The 23,275-nt window shown below is 38.5% G+C and overlaps 1 protein-coding gene across 13 annotated transcripts in view; it reads left to right on the plus strand.

The window, feature by feature from the left end:
• ANO4 (anoctamin 4) overlaps positions 1-23,275 on the plus strand; it is a 411,381-nt gene that overhangs the window by 77,512 nt on the left and 310,594 nt on the right. For 2 of the 13 annotated variants that reach the window (NM_001286615.2, NM_178826.4), the window contains exon 1: positions 4-255. The exons of the other annotated variants lie outside the window; for them this stretch is intronic. The gene's annotated coding sequence lies outside the window, so the exon portion shown is untranslated. Of the gene's footprint in view, positions 1-3; positions 256-23,275 lie in introns of those variants that run through there. 13 annotated transcript variants of the gene reach the window in all.

A 23,275-nucleotide genomic window follows, 5' to 3' on the forward strand; every position in this document is an offset into this window, starting at 1 on the left:
GCTGCTTTCACTCCGGCTCGCTCTCCGGAGAGTCCTGTTCCAGACTTCTCAGGGTTTTTACAGCACAAACAACTGCATACGGCCCGAGGGGAGGCTGAAAAGGACTTGTGTGTGGTGGTTTTATTGCCTGTCATCACTTTGCTGGCCTCCTCCCGACTGGAGCCTGGAGGTTCACAGTGGATTTCTTTCTGCCGAAGACACCAAGGCACTGAGGAAGGATCCCTTCTCCTTCTGTTGACTCTTTCTATTTTTATGGTAAGTGCTTACGTTGAATGAGCTGCTCTGTTGCTGCAGTGAACTGAACCGTTCGTTCCCCCTCTTCCCAGCTAAGCTTAGTGACCTTCCTTCTGCATTTCCTCTGTTTTCATGGATCTTGTCTGGGATGATCCAGCTTCAAAAATGCCAGGGGTCATTTGCCTGGAGTGTTTGTCTTTTTATCTTTTTTCCATAAACGTGAGCTCTTCTGCTGTGATACGAATATAAGTGCTCTGTCTTTGTCCTTGAAGCAGCAGCCGGGGAAATGTGTTCACGATGGTAAACTGCAGCAGCGTGCAGGGAATCTGTGGAGGATGACTGACAAATTTGGGCAGGATGAATCCTCAGTGTGCCAGGGGCACTCACTCAGGATCAGAAGGGCCGGGGGTGACCTGCCCACATAGCAAACTCTTCCATCTTTGTGGATAAAGATGAGCACACACGTGTGAGTTATGTTGAGTCTGCTGTGGGCAGCTGTGTTTTCTGCACCTGCCCGTGTGGGTCTGGGATGACCCTATATCTTGTGGGGTTTACAACTTGGGCAGGAACATTCTCAGCAGGAGGAATCCTGAGCTGGCAGACGGAGTAGACTGCATGACCTCATTGCTTCTTTCCCTTCTGAGTCTCAGGGTACCCAGTTCTGCAAACCATATTTTACAGGCTCTTCAGAGAGTGGTAGGGCAGTGATGACAGGAACATTTTTGAGTTGACAACATAGTTTTGTCCTCCTGCTAGGAGATAAAATACTTTGAGGTTATTAGAATGGTTAGACTTTTCTAGGAGAACATAAGCAGGTTTCTGACGAAGACTATGGATGTGGCAGATTGTTTATTCCAGGGACATTACTCTTACAATAGTGCTCTAATTTTTCACCTGGTCTCCTGAGGTTTGCTGCAAAGAGCATCACAACTTCAAGTCTATTACTGGCAGCTTCTTGACGCCCAAAGGAAACCAAGAACATTTTATTAGTTTCACTCCTGTGCGTTGCAGGAGTCTCTCTTAACAGGGATTTTTTTTTTTTTTTTTTGGTAGCAGGTGTGTCGAACTATTTTGGTCAAAGCATCATTCCAAAGAATAGCTTCGCAGTTGTAATTCTATTTAGTTATTTTCAAGTCTTGGACCGGAGGTGGGTTATCTTATTTGTGTAGGTTTTTCCATTCTGGTCCATTTCACTCTAGAGAGGGTTCTTGCCAAATGTAATTCAGTCTCTGATTCATAAGGTACTGAACTAATACAATGTGATTTTTTGTGATAAGTGAGGGGAGAGAATGTGGGGTGAAATTTCCAGTCTCTCCTCCTGCTCTTTGGGAGTTTGGAATGTAAAGTTCCCTAACTGCTTGCTCATTTTCACTACTTTTATGTCCCCTGTTCATGTGGATTTTTCTTGAAATAGTGGTGATGACATCAGACATATGCCTTTACCTTCTTCTCTGGGTCCAAAGTAGATGCGTTTGTTGTTGTTCTGTTTTTGTTTGTTTTTTATTTCAGTGAAGGGTTCCTTGCATTTGTAAAAGCATACGTTTAAATAAAAAACAAGAATTTGTAGATGTTTACATGTTAGCCCTGTTCAAGAGTAAAACCAGCACAGAGGTTAACAGCAAAAAAAAAAAAAATTCAAAACAATTTTTAAAATATTATCAGCATTGCTTGGCTTAGCTGTTCTAATATCCACTCTTCCCTACACTCGATTGTGGTTCGCGGCAATACTGTATTGTAATTTGACTGTCAGACTGCTCTGCTTCCTCTTTAATTCTTTAATGTTTAGCTGTTTACTTTCATCCTTAATGGTGTGTTCTTACTTTGCTTAATCTTTTTTTCTCTTTTTCTAATTGAAAGGATGTTATATAGTGCCTGGTAACTCAACTGAGGATACTCATTAAGATGGAAAGTGTTAGAATCAGCTTGGGTGTCATGGAAATAGACTCAGTATTTCTCACTGCAGGCAATTTCAGAATCATTTAGAACATATTTCATTTTAATTAGTAGCAACTTTAGCCTTGAGAAAAAACATTATTTAGGTTTCCTTTATTTTGCTAAACAGATTGTGTACCTATGCAATCAGAATTGTATATATATGTGCAATTGTTTATATATATGTGTGTGTATATATATATATATACACACATATACAAGCGTGTACACAAATGTACTGTTGTTTGTACTGTGTCAATTGTATATACTTAAAAAATTGTTGTAGCATGCCCATTTGGAGAACAGAAGGAAAATTCCTCAGATATTGCTTTAACTGGCTTTTTTTTTTTTTTGGTAAGGATTTCCCCACTTCCTAGACCCCACTTCCAGATAATGCCTTTAAGAATTTCTTTGAATTGGGAGAGTGCATTTTTCAGCATTTCCTTGTCTCACAGCATGGTGTCATGTTAATTCCTTTGCAGGGTCTCTGAAAGCAGCATAGAAAACTACTGCAGGAAAAATTGATAAAAGCTGTGCTGAGCGGAGCCTGTAGCCTCTTGGTGTGATGAAGTCACTGCAACATTTTGTGTGTATTTATTTTGCTGCTATGCCTTGCAACTGATTTTGCTTGCAGACTTAGCAAATTGAAGTTATTTAAAATGGGTCTGGAAACACCTAGATTGGTGTAGATGCAGTTGATGCAGTTATTCTTTTTTTTTTTACACTCTTTAATTACAACTATCATCAAAACTGTGCTTTCACTGTTTCTTTTGGTGGTGGTTTAATTTGAAACTTGCAGCTTAAATTATAAACCAAGTCTCCCTTTTAAAGTCCTCTTGCCTTCTGCTTTCTCTCTTCTTCACTTTTGCCATTTTATATATGTGAACATGCCTACATGTACACAGACAAACTCAGACAGTGAAAAATGTACAACAATTAATGAAGAGATGATTACAGCTTTTCTTTTAGTAACCAAACTCCAAATGTTGAAACCATAATCATGTAACTGAGGGAAGAAATTGTTTCTGTTAGTATAAATATAACCTCATACTTCTGCAGGCATTCTTATCATTGAAACTGTTTTCCATAGTTGATTACCAGGACCAGAAATAGAATTGATTTTGCATTTTAATTAATGACATTCTGGATCTGTCTAGGTTGGACTGCCCTCAAACCTTGATATGTTTACTGTCTAAAAGGTCTTTGTGTTAAGAGGGGGAGTTTATGGGTGTTATAAAGTAAAATCATTTGATTATGTGATACAGCTTTTCTTTGGTAACTGAATGAACCATATCATTAGAATGTTGGCTGAATTTTTATGTTGCTTTTCCCAATATTATTTAGCCAATATAATCCCTTTTACCATCTCTTTGAGCCCCTTTTACAGAGTACAAAGAGTTATGTGCGACTCCCACATGAGGCTTCTTAGAGGGAAGACTGTTCTTCAGCAGAGATTCAGAACTACTTCTAGCACCAGCTCTGGTAATCTACTTGGAAAGGAACTTGCAATTCAATTGGCAACTCAGGCAGATTGTATAAAATAGGAGAAATGCTTCATGAGCTGTGTTGAATACTGTATTTTTGATCTGTGCCTCCCTACTAAATTCATTTAGGACTGTCTTTACTAGATCAGTTTTGCAGGGAAAAAAACATGTCCTCAGTAGCATAATAATCTATCCAGACTGTCATAAATGTTTATATTGCAAGTTATACTTCTTAGGAGTTGGAGGGAGATGGCAGAATTTTGGAGGAGAACCAAATCACAGCCCCAAAATAATGCAAGACGAAAGGGGAACATTCTTCCTATGTTTAGCATTTAATTCTCCAGTCAGGCTGTTTGCTCTTAAGTCTGAAGAGCGAAGAAATGTAAAAACACATAATGACAGGTTTTGTGGGCTTTTTCTCTAATAGAAATCTTTAACCCTTAATTAGGCATCTGCTGACTGACCTTTTGGTGTGTGTGAGCCAGCAGCCATTCTTATAGAAAGCAGACATAATGTAATACAGTAGGAATTCAGTTACTTACATCTTTCCTGTTGGTCCCCCACAGGGGACCTCCTCTGAGTGTCAGAGAGGGAGTGAGTGTCTGGAGACCATCAGAGACCACAGCCAGTCACAGAGAGATATCTTCAAGCCCCTTGGATTCCAGTTCAGCCCCCACCACTAACTGGCTGTGTGACTCAAATTCTGTATCTGCTACATGAAGCTTGGACCAGATAATCCCAGAGGACTGTAACCCAGCCATTAAAAATTGTGAAGTATTAATTCACTTCTATTTGCTACTAGATGAACGATTATTTCTAAGACAATTGACCCATATTAGACATTCCTGGAGGGAGTAGGCTGTAACTTCCTTTGACCCTGCAAAGCCCCCAGAACTGTGACAGTGACGTGAGCATCAGTGTTACTCAGAAAAGTGTGATCATGGTACCCTTCATGAACAGGGCGAATATGTATATGATGACTATCTGCTTATCCTGGCACATTTTGGAAAGTCTCTTGTGATTATCAAAAAGGACCTTGGCCAGGGGCGGTGGCCCATGCCTGTAAATCCCAGCACTTTGGTAGGCCGAGGTGGGCAGATCATGAGGTCAAGAGATCGAGACCATCCTGGCCAACATGGTGAAACTCCATCTTACGAAAAATACAAAAATTAGCTGGGCATGGTGGGGCGCGCCTGTAATCCCAGCTACTCAGGAGGCTGAGGTAAGAGAATCACTTGAACCCAGGAGGCGGAGGTTGCAGTGAGCCGAGATTGCGCCATTGCACTCCAGCCTGGCAACAGAGCAAGACTCCGTCTCAAAAAAAACCAAAAGGAACCTTAAAGAGCAATTTACCTAATCCTCTCATTCCACAGAAGTTAAGGAAGTGATATGACTTCCCCAAGGCTGGAGACTCACATAGCACCTGGGCCGGATGACTTTAGTGTAAGGTGCATTCATTTACTCAGAACCCTGCTCCATTCCCAGTGTGGGGCCCCTTCCATGATACACAGCTGACACTGTGCCATTCATTGTTCACAAATCTGCTTTGTGGCATCTGTCTCACTGGTGTCCATTATTTCTGGGTTCATTTCATGCAGATTACGTGGCTGTACCAGTCAGAGTGAGTCATATCAAGCAAATGTTTATGGTAATTTGTTTATGCTTGTGTGGAAATGCATTTTTATGTTGAAATTCTGCTTTTCCTATAAACATTTAAAGAATTTTACAAAAACTATGCATAGTTTTTCCCCTTTGCTTAAACTATTTAAATGATCATTGATTTCTATGTAGAGGGGGTGATGTTTGTGAATTAATTCCTTCACCATTCACTCATTTACCTGTTACTTACTGAGCACCTATTGTGTCCACCCTACTGCCAAGCAGCAGAGATCTAGTGGTGAGACAGCCAGACACATCCACTCCTCTTGAGGAGTTCAGAGTCTACTTATACTTCATGGAGTTGGTTGTCTTTTCATTGTCAGCCAGTGTTCTATTTACTGATTCACAATTTCTCAAAGAATCTGGTTGAAAAATAGTTTGCTTGGGCAGATTTTTTTCCCTGTGGTTATTCCATTGAGAAATTCTTTTCGTAGAAGGGCACCTTTGCTGTCGTGGTGACATATATCTTCCAATTTTCGAAGATATTATTTTTAGCTTCTGATTTTGTGACCTGACTGAACAGAAGAGACAAATTAGCTAAACTTATTTGCACTATTGTTGTGATTCATGAAATGACAATTCGTGTCTTTGATAAAACTTACCTGTTTCCTAGAATCTTAAACTGACAGCCTGGATAGCACAGTGTCCATGGAACAAATCACAGATTAAATACCACACTCCTTTGCCTTGCATATCAGGCCCATAACAGTGTACAGCCCTTGCTTCCTTGTTCTATGTCTGGTTCCGAAGTTCCATGGAATGCTCTAGGAGTACCAAAACCATTTGCAATACTCAGAAATTTACAGTGCTCTCACTTGCCTCAGTGCCTTTGCACATGCTATTTCCTCTTCTCTCTTCAGACTAAACTTTCAAAGCAAATTTGATGTCATCTCCCTTGGAAGTGTTTTGACACTTGCCATCCTTATTGACTTCTTTTGCCCAGAGCTGAGCTAGGTATACTATCTCTGTTGTTCTGTATCCCTCAGGACCTTACAGACTGTTTGTCTACTTGTCTCTCTCTCTCTCTCTCTCTCTCTCTCTCTCAAACAGACTTTTTGTTTCTTGAGGGCAGGGACTATATGTTCTGTACCTCAAATCTTGGTTTAGTGACTGCTGTAGAGCAGATAACCAATAATCCTTGAACAAACAGATGGGAATCACCATCTAAAACCTATGGTGCTGTCATTGGCAGCTTCTGCTCTATGTGGAGAGTTTAATTTTTCAAACCAATGTGACTATGAATTATACTGAGAAGGATAAAGAGATTGGCAGACATCCTGATGTAGTTCATTAGAAATTCTATTCAAAACCCCAGGAAATGTTTCTGCTTTCAAATGAGTTTCAGCAAAGTAAACAATGAAAATTTATTAAGTGCCTTCTATAAGCAAAGCATTGCATTAAGTACCAAGGAATGAAAGATTTTTTTTTTTTTTTAAAAGCACAATTCCTATCCTCCAGAAAGCCACAAACTAGTGAGGGTTTGTCCCATGTGTCAATGACTGGTAATGAGGCTGACTGCTATAAACAGAGACTGTAGTCAGCTGTATACTTGCAGATAAGGCAGGGGGTAGAAAGGGCATTCTAGACAGAGGGGCTGGCTTGAGAAGGAACTTAAAGTTATGATGGTCGTGCCAGCAATCAGGTGACTTTGATGGAGCAGGGGCTGGGGGGTGGGGTGGAGGGAAGGTGGAAAATGCAAGGAAAGATGAGGAACGTTGTGTGGGGAGATGGGAATGGTATCAGGAACTCTAAATGCTGTTTATTATTTTTGAAAGTTGGAGGATAGTTAATAGGGTCTGGAAAATGCCAAATAGAAATTTGTTTGGAATCTCTTCTCAGGTTTAATTAAATCAAAAGTCTGTATTCTGCAGGGAAGGAGAGCAGTTGCGCAGTACATAACTGCATAACACGTTTTTTTCTCACCCATCCCTTTTGCCCTTGAGGGTACACTTTGCCATTCAAAGTCATCACAAGGAAGTGAAGCCGGGAAGTCTAACTTAAATCAATCAGTTTAGACCTGAAGGGAGTTTAGCATTGAGATCACTGAGGTGCCTGTTAACAAACTGTCCAGGGTGTGGAAAACCCCCTGGGTCTTTGGTGCTGTATTTCTACTGTAAAAATTTAGTTATTTTTTTATTTGACAATTAACTTTGTGCTATTTACAAGGAATACAGTTGTTTTATGAACCAGTGAGATATGCATGTGTAAGTTTGTTTCATGTAGGTGAAAAAGTGGCTTGGAAAATTCTGTCTGTGATAGATTCAATTCATCATCAAAATATGATTTCTGCTTGCCTTGTCCCTCCTTTCTTTTTCCTAAAAGAATGAGTGAACATATTCTTAGGGAATGGTAAGTTGGTAGGTTTTCTGCATCTCATAATTAGATCTGACCAGATGACTCTCCACCTTGAAATTAGTCTAAAAAGATTGAAGAATTTGGAGGAAGATCTCTAGATATCTTGACCAGAGCATGAAAGCAAATAAATATTGCTTGTGGAGTGAGAGATGATGTGGTAGAAAAGAAGCTGCATTCATTCATTCATTTATTCATTCATTTGCTCACTCCACAAGTACTTAATCGAGCACGTACTATGTTTCAGCTTCCTGCCTTCATGGAGCTAACATTCTGGTCAGAGTGGGAGGGGGAGACAGAAAAACACATTAGCAAATACGAAGCAAGTCAGATGGTGATCAGTGCTATGGAGGGAAAAAAAATGAAGAATGCTTTGGCTGCTATTATCTTCACATTTGGTTCTCTTTAAAGTTATTTAACTTATGCATTATGGTTAGGTTATTTTCTTCTCTCCACTCATTGTTTTTAGCTGCCTATTTTTATATTCACTTTCTGACAATTCTATGATAAACCACCATCTTGAGGGTTTTTTTCCTCCTAGATAAAAGCAGCTTTTGAAATAATTGGAGTACTGTGAACAAAAGTTATAATGAAGCATTTACTTCTGGAATTGATTTAAAGAAAAGTACTACGGACATCAAAGCCCATTAGTATTTTTCTCAAGACTAAAGTTGTCAGAATTTAGAGGAACATGGGATGGAAATGGATCTGTCCCTCACTTAACTCTGAGAGGAGCAGTTTGGGGTGTTCTGAGAGGATGGGAGCTTGGAGTATAGGGAACTCCAACCCCGGGAGCAGAGAAATGGTGGGATCACCCATGAGCAGAGCTCATTCAGAGAAGAGACGGGAGTGAATTAGAAAGTGAACATGCAAAAATTGAGCAAGGAATTTCTCTTTGGGAGGAAGGGAGGTAGGGAGGATAAAACCAGTGAGATAAATGTCAGTGAATAAACAACATTTACAAGAACAAATTCTGCCCAATATAGAACATCTGAGTGAGCTGGTTAGTGGAAATGGTGCCTCGAGATAAAAAACAATATTTAGGGATTTCCCAATATTCCCATCCTATATTTTGTGGGATCTTTAATTCAGCATCAATGTTCCATTTTACTGCAAGCAAGCCTTTAGTCAATACTTTCTACCTTGCTTCTAAAATAATTAGGATTTAAAGGAAAATGTCTCCTAGCGGTGGAGTGCCTGGGCTCTGGGGCAGACATTGTACCCATCCTTACTCTGCCACTTACTCACCTTTGGACCTTGGGCAAGTGAGCTGGTCTCCTTGTGCATCATTGTCCTCAATTATAAAAATGAGATTAACTAATTACCCCTACCTCAGAGTTGTTATGAGTGATAAATGAAATAGTCCATGGAGAGCCCTTAGCACAGTGCCTGCAAGATGATTGCATTATCTAACAATTGTTAACCTGTTATTACCATGACTTGTCTCTCTGGTGTTAGTGGTTTAGAGAAGTTCTCACATGTATATATGTATTTTCCCCCTTAGCAGAGCTTTTTTTTTTTCTTCTTCAACTTTTAAGTTCTGCGGTAATGTGCAGGATGTGCAGGTTTGTTACATAGGTAAACGTGTGCCAGGGTGGTTTGCTGCCCAGATCAACCCACCACCTGGGTATTAAGCCCAGCATCCATTAGCTATTCTTCCTGATACTTTCCCTGCCCACACTGACAGGCCCCAGTGTGTGTTGTTCCCCACAGTGTGTCCATGTTTTCTCATCATTGAGCTCCCACTTATAAGTGAGAACACATGGTGTTTGGTTTTCTGTTCCTGTGTTAGTTTGCTGAGGATAATGGCTTCCAGCTCCATTCATGTCCTTGAGAAGGACATGATCTTGTTCCTTTTTATGGCTGCATAGCATTCCATGGTATATATATACGACATTTCCTTTAGCCAGTCTATCTTTGATGGGCATTTAGGTTGGTTCCATGTCTTTGCTATTGTGAACAGTGCTGCAGTGAACAAATGCATGCATGTATCTTTATAATAAAATGATTTATATTTCTTTGGGTATATACCCGGTAATGGGATTGGTGGGTCAAATGGTATTTCTGGTTCTAGGTCTCTGAGGAATTGCTACAGTGTCTTCTGCAATGGCTGAAGTAATTTACACTCCCACCAACAATGTAAAAGCAGTCCATTTTCTCCACAACTTTGACAGCATCTGTCGTTTCTTGACTTTTTAGTAATCACCCTTCTGACTGGCGTGAGATGGTATTTCATTGTGGTTTTGATTTGCATTTATCTAATGATCAGCGATGCTGAGTTTTTTTCATGTTTATTGGCCGCATGTATGTCTTCTTTTGAGAAGTATCTGTTCATGTCCTTTGCCCACTTTTTAATGGAGTGGTTTGTTTCTTTTTCTTGTAAATTTGTTTAAGTTCCTTGTAGACTCTGGAGATCAGACCTTTGTCAGATGGATAGATTGAAAAAATTTTCTCCCATTCTGTAGGTTGTCTGTTTGCTCTGATGATAGTTTATTTTGCTCCTCAGAAGTTATTTAGTTTAATTAGATCCCATTTGTCCGTTTTTGCTTTCATTACAATTGCTGTTGGCATTTTCATGTGAAGTCTTTGCCCATGCCTGTGTCCTGAATGGTATTGCCTAGGTTTTCTTCTAGGGTTTTTATAGTTGGGTTTTGCATTTAAGTCTTTAACCTATCTTGAGTTAATTTTTGTATAAGATGTAAAGAAGGAGTCCATTTTCTATTTTATGCATATGGCTAGCCAGTTCTCCCAGCACCATTTATTAAATAGGACATTCTTTCCCCATTGCTAGTGTTTGTCAGGTTTTTTCAAAGATCAGGTGGTTGTAGGGGTGTGGTCTTATTTCTGAGTTCTCTATTCTGTTCCATTGGTCTGTGTGTCTGTTTTTGTACCAGTACCATGCTGTTTTGGTTACTGTAGCCTTGTAGTATAGTTTGAAGTCCGGTAGTGTGATGTCTCCAGCTTTATTCTTTTTGCTTAGGATTGTCTTGGCTATTTGGGTTCTTTTTTGGTTCCATATGAATTTAAAAAATAGTTTTTTCTAATTTTGTGAAGAATGTCAATGGTAGTTTAATGGTAATAGTATTGAATCCGTAAATTACTTTGGGCAGTATTGCCATTTTCATGATACTGGTTCTTCCTATCCATGAGCATGAGCATTGATTATACCTATCCATTTGTTTGTGTCCTCTCTTATTTCCTTGAGCAGTGGCTTGTAGTTCTCCTTGAAGTGGTCCTTCACTTCCCTTGCTAGCTCTATTCCTAGGTATTTTATTCTCTTTGTAGCAATCACTTTCTTCTTCCTGTTTGTGATTAATGATTTTAGGGTAAATCTTTTTGGAGGGATCTCACTTTTTTTTTATTCAGTCTCTTAGATAGTTATTATAATTTGGAATTTACTTAGATTTTAAGTCTGTATCATAGAACCTAAACAGTGGAATTGGAGGACCATGTGGCCACAAGGTCCCTGGGAGGAGGACCCACTAGTCACAGTAAGTGATGTTGTGGCAGGAAAAGAGAAGAGTAGAGTGGATGAGAAAAGGAGCAACCTAACAGCAAATATGATCAATGTTCTTTTTCTCTGTTGCCATTCGGGAGGATTTAGGGATGAAGGCTCCTTAGGTGGTGTGTAGTGTAGACAGGCTACAGCTTGCAGTTTCCTGGAGGGAATAGCCAGGAGAGTGTGATTTGTATAAACAGGGGCAGGTGGCTAAGGAAGTATAGTTAGGTGCCAGTAAGTTTGTAGGAAAGAATTCTAAAAGTGGAATGCCTGGTTCACAGGGTATGTGAGTTTAAAAATTCTGATGGCTCTTACTGAATCACCATTAACAGAAGTGCGCCAGTTTATACTCCCATCAGCAATGAATGAGAATGCCTGTTTCCTCACACCTATGCCCACTAGCAAGCATTTTGATCTTTGCTAATCTGCTGGGTGAAAAGTAGCATCTTATAGTTTAATTTGAGCATCTTTTCATGTGTTTACTTTGTATTTTCTTCTTCTATGAGCTAACTCTTTGTTCATGCCCTTTGCAGGCCCACTTTCAACTATTGAGTTTTGATTTTGATTTTTAGGAGGTTTTTTTTTTGTTTCGTTTTTTTTTTTTTTTTTTTTTTTTTTTTTTTTTTTTGTGAGACAGAGTCTCGCTCTGTCACCCAGGCTGGAGTGCCGTGGCGTGATCTCGGCTCACTGCAACCTCCGCCTCCTGGGTTCAAGCAATTCTCCTGCCTCAGCCTCCTGAGTAGCTGAGATTACAGGTGCCCACCACCATGCCCAGCTAATTTTTGTATTTTTAGTAGAGACGGGGTTTCACCATGTTGGTCAGGCTGGTCTCGAACTGCTGACCTCTTATCTGCCTGCCTTGGCCTCCCAAAGTGCTGGGATTACAGGTGTAAGCCACTGCGCTGTCCAGGAGCTCTTTATATACTAGAAAAATTCACATTTCCTTATGATTTTTTTTACCAAGTGTTTCTGCTTATTTTGTTATTTGTCTTTGATATTGTTTATGGTATTTGAGGCATAATAAATTTTTATATAAAGTTGTCACATGTTTCTTTTGTACTTTCTGGGTTTTGTGTAATAATCAGAAAAGCCTAACCCACTCTGAAAAGTCATGCTTCTACAATTTCCTTTTGTATTTTTATGTAAATAAAATCATACTTATTTGATTCATAATTATTTTGGATTAGTAATGAAATAGAAATTCCATTTTATTTTCCCCCAACAACTACCTAGTTCTCTCCAAACATTTCAGGCACGATGTGTCTTTTCCTTGCTGGCTAGGTGGTGATTCTTGAGAAAGATGATTTTTACTTGGGCCAAGGCAGGGGTGACATGGAAGGGTATCATCATCTATGAAATCCCCTTATGTAGTTAGAACTATTTTTGGAGAGTCTGCTCCATTTTCTTGACTTCCAGTTTGTTGCAGTTCCACACTGTGTTAATCACTCTAGTTTTATGAATTTTAATATATGATATGGCTAGCCTCACCCCTATTACCCTTTTGTTCCAGGATTTTTTTTGATCTTCCTACATGTTTATTTTTCTGAATAAACTTTAGAAATTGTCTCATTCTAAAAAACAATCATGTTTTGGAGAAAGGGTTAAATTAAATTTATAGCTTAATCTAGGGAGAGTGTTTTTTAACTTTTAAGCTCAGGGGTACAAGTGTGGGTTTGTTGCATAGGTAAACGTGTGCCAGGGTGGTTTGTGACACAGATCAACCTATCACCTGGGTATTAAGCCCAGCATTTATTAGCTATTCTTCCTGATGCTTTCCCTCCGCCCCTGACAGGCCCCAGTGTGTGTTGTTCCTCATAGTGTGTCCATGAGTTCTCATCATTCAGCTCCCACTTATAAGTGAGAACACATGATGTTTGGTTTTCTGTTCCTGCATTAGTTTGCTGAGGATAATGGCTTCCAGCTCCATCCATGTCCATCCATGTCCCTGCAAAGGACATGATCTTGTTCCTTTTTATGGCTGCATAATATTCCACGGTATATATGTACCACATCTTCTTTAGCCAGTCTGTCATTGATAAGCATTTAGGTTGATTTCATATCTTTACTATTGTGAATAGTGATGCAGTGAACATTCACATGCATGTATCTTTATGGTAGAATGATTTATATTCCTCTGGGTATATACCCAGTAATAGGATTGCTGGGTTGAATGGTATTTCTGTCTTTAGGTCTTTGAGGAATCGCCACACTGACTTCCATAATGTCTGAACTAATTGACACTCCCATCAACAGTGTATAAGCGTTCCTTTTTCTCCACAACCTCACCAGTATCCTTTATTTTTTGACTTCTTAATAATAGCCATTCTGACTGGTGTGAGATGGTGTCTCATTTGATTTGCATTTATCTAATGATCAATGATGTCAAGCTTTTTTTCATATTATCGTTGCCACATGTATATCTTTTGAAAAGTGTCTGTTCATGCCCTTTGCCCACTTTTTAATGGGGGTGTTTTACTTGTAATTTGTTTAAGTTTCTTACAGAAGCTAGATATAGACCCTTGCCAGATGTATAGTTTGCAAAAATTTGGGAGAATTTTTTATGATACTGACCCAACCTGTCGTCACACAGGGTATATGTTCCCATTTATTCAGATCTTCTTTTATGAATCTCCTTAGTTAATGTTTTAAGATATTCTTCCTATATATTTTGGCACGTATTTTTTAAAACATTATTTGACATGGTTTATAAGTATTTGTTTAGTCTTCACATATTTGCAGAGGTATTGAGGAGTGAAAAAGGAATGGAAGTGTTTCTTTGACACCGTAAAATAGATTACCTGGGGAAAAATATTGAAACTTTGCATAAGTAAATGTAATTGATTCATTTTTTCTTTTATCTCTTCTGACCCTATATTTCGAATTGTTGATCTAACTATAAAAACGTATTTGTTTTAAATTTGCAATTGAATTTAGTAAGTGTTTTTCACACCCACAAATTCAAAGCACCAATTGCTGAGATTCTTTTGCAAAGTGTTCCATATCATTGTCTTATATTAATTCATTGACTATTAATTAATTAGCTTAGTAAGCACTTAATGAACACTTACTATAGACCAAATGTTAGAAATATGAAGACTAATAAGACATGATCCCTTTCATTGAAAGATTTGCTGTTTACTCAGAGATGGAATGAAATGATGAAAACAAAGAATTATAATAATATAAGGTAATGTGCTTTACACTCTGGGAGGCCAAGGTGGGTGGATCTGGATCACTTGAGACCAGGAGTTCCAGACCCACCTGGCCAACATGGCAAAACCCCATCTCTACTAAAGATACAAGAATTAGCCAGATGTGGTGGCATGCACCTGTAATCCCAGCTGCTCTGGAGGCTGAGGGAGGAGAATTGCTTGAACCCAGGAGGCTGAGATTGCAGTCAGCAGAGATCGCCCCACTGCACTCCAACCTGGGCGACAGAGCAAGATTCTGTCTCAAAAAAAAAAAAAAGGGTAATGTGCTTTCATGAAAATATGTGCAAGGCAGAGTTGGAACATGGAGTGGGAGAGCCTCAAGCTGTCCTGGGGCAATCAAAGAAGGCTTTACTGAGCAACCAGCATCTGAACTGAGACCATTCGGATGAGTTGCTGCCAGGTGGGCAGATCAGGGGAGGCTTCTCCAGACAGAGAAACTAGCAAGTGCAAAGGCACTGGGGCATGAATCAGTTACAAGTTATTCAGTCTATGGGGCTTAGGAGATTAGGCTTAGCCAGTAGGCAGCTGCCAGATCTCAAAGGCTTTATATGACATGCGCAAGAGGTTGTGCTATATTCTGTAGGCACTGGAGCAAATTGTGAGCAAGAAAAGGTCAGATTGTAGACTACATAACTCTGGTAGCCATATGGAGAGCAAAGTAGAAGGGTATGGGTATAAAATCAGGAATACAAGTATGGAGATTATAACAGTGGGCCCAGTTAGAGACTGTTTTCTCTTAAACTAGGACAGTGACATTAGGAATGACAGAGAGCCCCTATGGAAGATTTATTCATTCAACAATCATTTATTAGAATCACCTGTATGCTAGGCTCTGTGCTGGATGCTAGGCATGCAGCAGTGTGCCAGACAGATATGCTCCCCACTCCCAAAGCCATCCCATTCAAATGGGAAGAGCCTGATAAGGTGATATGTAAGTTGATATGTTAAGCAGTGGTATATGATGAAGCAGAATGCAGCAGGATGAAAGGGAAAGGGAACATGGTTAGGAGTATGCTGATCAGGATAGTCCTCTGGGCAAGGTGATGTTTGATCAGGACATGAGCTGGGGAGGGAGGGAGGGTATGAGCCAGGGAAATGGTGTCCAAGCACAGGGAAATGGTATCCAAAAGAGAAATGGTGTCCAAGCAGAGGGAACAGCCAGTGCAGAGGCCCTGAGAAGGAACTGTGCTTGGCATGGTTAAGGAATAATGAGGAGGCCAAAAGGGCTAGAGCAGAGTGGTGGAGGAGGTGGCTTAAGTATTTAGATTTTATCCAGAATGAGATGGGGAGCCAGGGCATTATTTTTCATACGGCAGTAGCATGATTTGACTGGCAGCCTTTAAGAGGATCTCACCTGCTGCTGTGTGGAGAATAGAGGGAGTCAGGGTGTAAGTAGGTCAGTTACAAGGCTGGTGCAGAGGTCCAGAAAGGGAGGTGATGATGGACCAGGATAGTGATTCTGGAGGTGGTGAGAGGTGGTAGAACTATGGATCTGTCTTGAACTTGGTACTAGAAGGATACAGGAAAGTGTGCATAGGAAGTAAAATGGGCAAGTGTAGATTAGATAACTGCTAAGTGTAGATTAGATAACTGCTAAGTGTAGACATACAATATTTTAAAGGGAGATGAGGGAAGTATAGCCAGGGAGGGTCACTTTAGCAAGAGCAGTCCATATGGTCAATAGGTCAATATGATGAGTACACTATCATGAACTCTTGCAGGCTAAACTTTTATTATTTGTATACTTATGAGCCACACTGGATTGTGTGACATGACTAAATAGAGAATTCCTGAAATTGCCTCTGGGAGGATGTATTAAATAGGGTCAATCAGAAGTACGTAAATGGTGTCTACTCTTGAGCAATAAAATTTATAGAAGCCACATCTAAATTTAGCTTTAAGCAATTTCGGAGCCTGAGAATTTTCAGGAAATAGTAATCAAAGCCCTGATAATACAAGAAATTGACATCCTTTTTGGACTGACATGGGAGAGGAATAATTTGGGCGGTCACAGAAACGGACTCATAGATCATAGATCTTGGGAATGTGGGGTCAATGAATTAAATATGGCTGAAAATTATAAATTACCTCACATATCCAATTGCTTTTAGCTAAAATCAAGAGAAAGGGCTTTCTAAAGCCGAGATACTTTTTTTCCATTAGCAAAGGGTTATAAGATGTTCTGGAGACTTGAGTCAGGCTAGTTCCCTTATCTTTGGAAGATATTCTTGAGTGATGCAGTGCTATCAGTTTCAAATAAGTATATTTTTGTAAATCAGGTGATGTTATATAATGAAACTGACATTTGTAAAAGTTTTTTATGGCTCCCAGCCAGGTGCCCCTTTTGTCAGACCCTGACTTTTGAAGGATTTTGGGCTGCTTATAAGGATTCAGAGTTCCCCTGCAAAATTGATGTTGGAAACCATACCCACAGTCTGCGCCAGTCACTGTGGACTGGATACATTTCCACAGTGTGAGATGAAATCAGAACTGAATGAGAGTGGCCACTGTTCTCTTGGCCATACCTGACCAAAGGTTCTAGTTTGATGCAGATTATTATTCTTTAGTTAACTGTACAGTAAACCATGCACAGTCCTCATTGTAATTAGGTGGGTTCATTCTTTCTTAATTTTACCTGCTGTTGTCGTCATGAGTCACAAAGTTGAATAACTCTTCAGTTATTATTGTAGCCAGAGTGATGGATAAGATAGACTCCCCTAAACCATGGTAGTCGATATAAAGCTTTTCTTCTCTTGCCCCCATAGTTAGCACTAACTGGCCCCTGTTTTGTATAACCTTATACAGACTTATGTCATAGTGCTAATGATATACCACATGTGTGTACACATATGCACATACCTACTCACATATACACATGCACACACATATATGTGTACACACACACACACGCGTAATTCCTCTTCTCTCCCCCCACAGACTGTAGTAGGCACTTTGAATCATGAATCGTTCTTATTTTCCTTTTAACTATTAACACTTAGCTCAGCATCTGGCATAAAGTAGGAGCTCAAAACATGGTTGTCGATTGAAATCTAGAACTGGGTTTTGCATTTTCTTGTTATTGCTTTGTTGTTGTTCTGTTGATTAAGTAATTCTATACCTAGTTTAGGTTTGAATTGCTTTAGAGACCCTGATGATGGTGCCTTGTGTTCTTGGCCACTTGATTTTATGTGACAGTCTTCAGCATATTCATAACTCCAAGCTTTACAAAACAGGCAATATTTTATAGGGAAGTAGCTCTGTTGCCTTTCTGGATGTAGAGGCAGCATGAGATTATAGGATAAAACTCCAATATGTTTGTATTTATGTATATATATATTACCTTATTCATACATAATAATGTGTATACATACATAATAATATGAAGTAAAAGTAGGTCAGAAGTAAAGAAGAGGTGGGAACAAAATGAAAGCAGGAATACAATTAAATTGCATGTCAGAATGACTTACATGTAAGATACAGAGGCCACCTTTAAAGGCTTTAAGCTTTCAATCAGCCAGAGGGAAAAGAACAGGCTTATGGGGGTAAAGATAAACCATTTGCTCAGGTTGATTTTAACCATACTCTTAGCACCAACATCAGATAAGAATTTCTCCCAGGAGTCCCTATGAAGAGTACATTGTGTTTCGTTATGAAAATCATCAAGCTTTGCAAGGCTGATTCTCATAAGACAATTTTGTGTTAATAGCATTGCCTCAAGGCAAAATTTTGTAAAAGCAGTCGGCAAGGTTCTGTTTAGGAATCAGTTCTCTGCTGGTCAGTTTGACTCAGGGATATGAAAAGTGGGTGGACTACTTGTCTTTAAGCAATCTTTCCTGTGTATTGTTTATCTCAAATAAAGCTTTGAAAATTGTTTTTTAACATTGAACTTGAAGTGGCACTATTCTCCAGCAAGTAAGGGCCTACAGTGTAGCTACTATTCTGTGTAGCTAGTTAAGGAGAGACCTGGCGTCCTAGCAGTGTCAAATGAAAGCTGGTATTAGCATCCATATGAGGAAGCTGACTTGCCTAGCAAAGACATTTACCTGAATAGCAGGTTGCCCTCCTTATTTCCAGGGGAAGCATGGGAGAACCAAGCAGCTCAGCCAGGATTATGCATAGAAAATTGTTTGGACCCACGTTATTGCTCAGACAAATGGGTGATCCTCTCCAAGGGCTTTAAATAGGTCCTTTTGGGGCAGGGAACCCAAACACTTAGCAAAGTACAGAAGGTTTGAAGGGAATGAATTCCCAGAGTCTGGATTGGATGCTCAGTCTCATTTCTCACCTTCCCGTTTACAATCCCTCTTTTTCCATTTTAGCAAAGCAAGGCATCCTTCTTATCCATCTCAGATCTTACTATAGTGCATTGTGCAGGGGTGTAAAAACAGCCTGGGCACCAAACAGAGCAGCAATTGGAAATATTTCTTTGCAGAGAAGTATGGTAGTGTGAACAATAAAAGACTTTCCAATATAAACATATGCTACATTGGGATAAAACTCTGTGGGGAAGTGGGCTGGATATGAGTTAAAGGAGAAAAACTAGCGATGTAAATTTTCCAACTGATAAAAAGGAGCTTGAGCTTGGTCAGATATCTTAAAAATGGTTGAATGTGGGATATGACAGTTGTGTTTTAAAACCTCAATGTTTATGTATGCCATAAATTATATTCTTTGTAATCCTATAAGCTTATGATGAAGTCAACTTAAAACTTCACTGAGTTGGGGCAGATCTTCAGAAGGGGATACATAGCTTTTTGTTTTGTTTTGTTTTGAATCTTTGGGCCATGCGTGAGCAAACATGTTTGAAGACCACTCATCTACTGCATGTAATATGGCTCTCAATCAGTCCTCTAGCTCTTGCATCGACCTCAAGTGTTAGGTCAGCCTCTAGCTGTAACTCCCCTCCCTGTTCTTACCACTACTTTATATTTACTTTAATATAAGTCTAACAGATTGCATCCATGATTCCTCTACCAAATAGGAAGATCTTTAATTCTCGAAAACGGTATACTATATACTCTGTAGTTTCCAGGAATTTTTTTGTGGTGCCTTATGTAAAGGCAAACTTTAAAAAAATTATTGAGATATAATTTACATATCATATAATTCACCCATTTCAAGTATAGAATTCAATAAGTTATAGTAAGTTTACCAAGTTGTGAAGTCATCATCATAAATCAGTTTTAGAACATTTTTGTCACCCCAATACGATTTATCATGCCCATTTACGTGAATGTTCCTATGTTTTTCTAATATTTAAGGGGCTACAAGTTCATATGACAACATGCGTAGAGAGCAGTAAGGATGGAGGAAAACAAGAGGGGCAGGGCCAGAATTTTATCATTTATGGAAGCATGAGTGCTAGCATCTTCTATTTTTATTTTTAAAAAACCACTCTGATGTTCTTCTAGTCCTTATATGTTTTTATTGATACAAATATAACCACATGTTAAGGCAGGACTCTGTCTATCTCAGTTTTGGCTAAGATCCCAATGGCCAAGAATACTAGATTAGGTTCCCCCATATCAGTTACCTATTTAGAACATACAAAACATTGTATGGGAGTTAGTTATTGTCTGCTCCATAATATGTATGAGGTTGATGTTGGGGCCCTGGTGAATGTGAGGGTGGGAGAAGGGTACTCCATCTTCACTTCAAACCAAGTGAGAGGAATCCTTATTGAACTTGACATTATCTCCTGATGGGAGTTTGGGGACATGAGGTTCACCTGAACCTGTGGAAGGCTGTGATGAGAGCTGCCGCTAAGAACAAAGTGGGAGAGGGGGCTGCAGGGAGATGGCCGCAAGTTGGTGGGACGAAGATGTGTGAGATTTTATCATGGATCAGGTGGATGCTCTGGGATCATTTTAACTTTGGAATGCACTCAAGAGGGATGCCTGGAGGGAATGGGGGAGAAACAGAGAGAGAGAGAGGGCATGAGCAAGTGCATAAGTGATGGTGGGGGGAATGGTTATCAGTTACCTAACTATTCTGGATACGTAAGAATGTAGTGCTTAGAGATTAGACAGAAAAATGAACCATTTGCCATTTGACCATCTGGGAGACATTATTGTATGGTCTTTAAATCTGATAAACCTGAATTTAAATCTCTCCCTGACCCTCAGCAAGTTACTGTATTTTTCTGAGCTTTCAGAGTTGTCATGGCCAGTATTTGTCGTAATGATATAATCATTGACTTTGACAAGTCCTGGAACTTGCCTTTCAAAGTATTTTTGATATTTGACACTGATTGATGAGTAGATAAATATGAATATTCTGTATAGACAACATCTATGATCTAGCTAGAGATCTAAAAGTCATTGTTAGGTACCATAAGCGTGTAACATATAACATTCAATATTTTGCAAAATCCATGGTATTTCATTTACTATACTGCCATTTACTTTCTTATTTGGATTACGTAGGTGATAAATTTGTACAAGCCTGTTTTCATATACTTTGAAAGTGTGTGAAAATAATTGTATATAAATGGTAATTCTGATTTTCTCTAGAATACAATTCAGATTTACCAGCCTTCAAATAATATTATTTTAGATACTATTGTTAATAAATAATATTTTTTATTTAGCAAATAACTTTACATATATATGTGTGTGTGTGTGTGTTTGTGTGTGTGAATTTATGCATATGTATTTTTCCAGCCAACATGAAAGTCTTTTGAGGACAAAATTGAGTATTTGCCATCACAAAACTATAAATAACTTAAAAATTTGGCATATTTAAATATTGCAGTAAGCAATAATACTTTTATCCATTTATGCAACTTTTGTACAGAAACAGATCTTGTAGATTATCAGGTAGGATCTATGGAGTGAAGTTTGATAAACTTTTAAAGACAATGAAGTTAATTTTTAAAACCTCTTAAACTCAACTCTTAATTATTCTTAATTGTGTTCTTTAATTTCTTAAATTGTGTTCCCAAAGCATTTAAAATATATAACTATCGTAGTACTGAATGCATGGCATAGTATTATTTCATTAATTCATTAATTTATTTAAAATGACTGTAGTGAACTCGTATGGTACAATCTCTGTCCTTATGGAGTCTAGAGTTCAGTGGGATAGACGCATGAAACAGACACATGAGTAATATATAATTACAAATTATGATCACTGTTATGAGTTACAGGCAAATGGCATGAGAGAATAACTGTGGAAGCATAATTTAATTGGAGGGAATGATTCTCTGATGAAAGATCTGAAAGATGAGTGGTCCATTATCAGTTGAGAATGGGTCAAAGAATATTTCAGATAGTGGGAACAGCATATTACAAAGGCCCTGTGGTAGGAAGGAGTATGAAATATTTAAGGAAGAGGCAAGGAGTGGATATAGATGCCTCATTTAGGAGGCAATGGGAATAATTCATTCTGGAAATGAGGTAAACTAGACACTAGATTAGACTAGAATAAGTTAGTGGCAGTACAGTTAGAAGTGAATGGATTTTAAGAAATAGTAGAAATTAGAGTCAATAGGACTTCAACTGTTTATAAAGGAGAAAGGAGAAGGTGTTGATAAATAAGGCTATTTGTAAAGGTGGATGGTTTGGATTCTAGCACATTGTACTGTGATTGTTATACCATAATTTATCTTCTGTGAACATTGCAAGGAAGTTTCTGCACTTATTTTCAAGTTTTGATGTGTATATTTTTACAATACTGTTCACTTTTCTAAACTTTTCAATTGTAAGTTTCTTATAATTGAGAATTGTTTTCTCTTTCTTTGGTATATGTCCAGAGTTCTTAGCCCTCTAAATTCAGTTGTTGTTGAGTAAATTTTATTTTTTTAAAAAATAGAGATTAGAACATCTGATTTCAGATATTTAAAAAAACTTAGATATTTATCTTGTGGGGAATGACTTAGGAACAGTTTTCTTGAATGTAGAGATTTGAAATACCAATTTGCCTTTGGGTCATTATTTTGTAGGAATGTGGGAAGATATAAAATTCAATGAGCAATATGATTAGGCATTTATATAATTCCTTAAGTATATGCTATGTAGATCTTTCAACATATATATTAAAAGATTAAAAAATGCTTGATTATCTGGCTCTGGGGTATACTTGTAAAACTTGCCTATTTGCTAAGGTCAAAACAGGCATGCATGTATTTTATATTCTAGCTTTATCTATGGTATATTAATAATATAACTGGTTTCCAGCAGACACAACCTAGAGTAATCCCTGCCTAGGCTTAGCCTAGTTAGAGCCTAGTTAGGTCTTCTTGGGTTTGGACATGATTTGAGATATTGAAAAGAAAATAATTGAGGAGATTCAAAGCAGTATTCTAATGAAGCTATATGCAGGTTTACTAAACAGCCAACTTAGCCATTTATCTAAAAAAATAATATATGTAAAATGTGGGTTTTACTGTAATATAATTACCGAGTCTCCTTACCAAAGGATGGGAAAACTTTATAGCCACGAGTGACAGAAAGAAACTATTGTTCAGTTGTTGGATTCCATGTTTATGTCTGCTAAACTGGTCATTGATTTTCATACTGTGAACTTTCTTAACATTGCCAGGTATACAGTTAGAAGACCTCTTATCCTAAATGCTTAGGACTAATTTCGTTGGTCAGTGGAAAAAGATGGTTAAATGAGGGAATAGTTAAAACAATATGATACATGCATTTCTTGAACAATTTATTTTAACCTAAAACAAAAATTAATTTGCTAATATTTTGGTGGGGGCTAAGGGTTTTACTTCAAGTAATAATTCATTAATTTTTTTGTTTTACAGTTTCTTTTTTGCATAATCATGCCTGGAATTCATTACCTATAAGGACATAGACACTTGTGAAGACAATCCTAGTGCAGAATTCATCTAACTTTAATGAATCATTTCATTAAAGATTTCATGATTTCCCTTATTATTATTATTA

This window comes from Homo sapiens, chromosome 12, assembly GCF_000001405.40.
Source record: "Homo sapiens chromosome 12, GRCh38.p14 Primary Assembly".
NCBI lineage: Eukaryota > Metazoa > Chordata > Mammalia > Primates > Hominidae > Homo > Homo sapiens.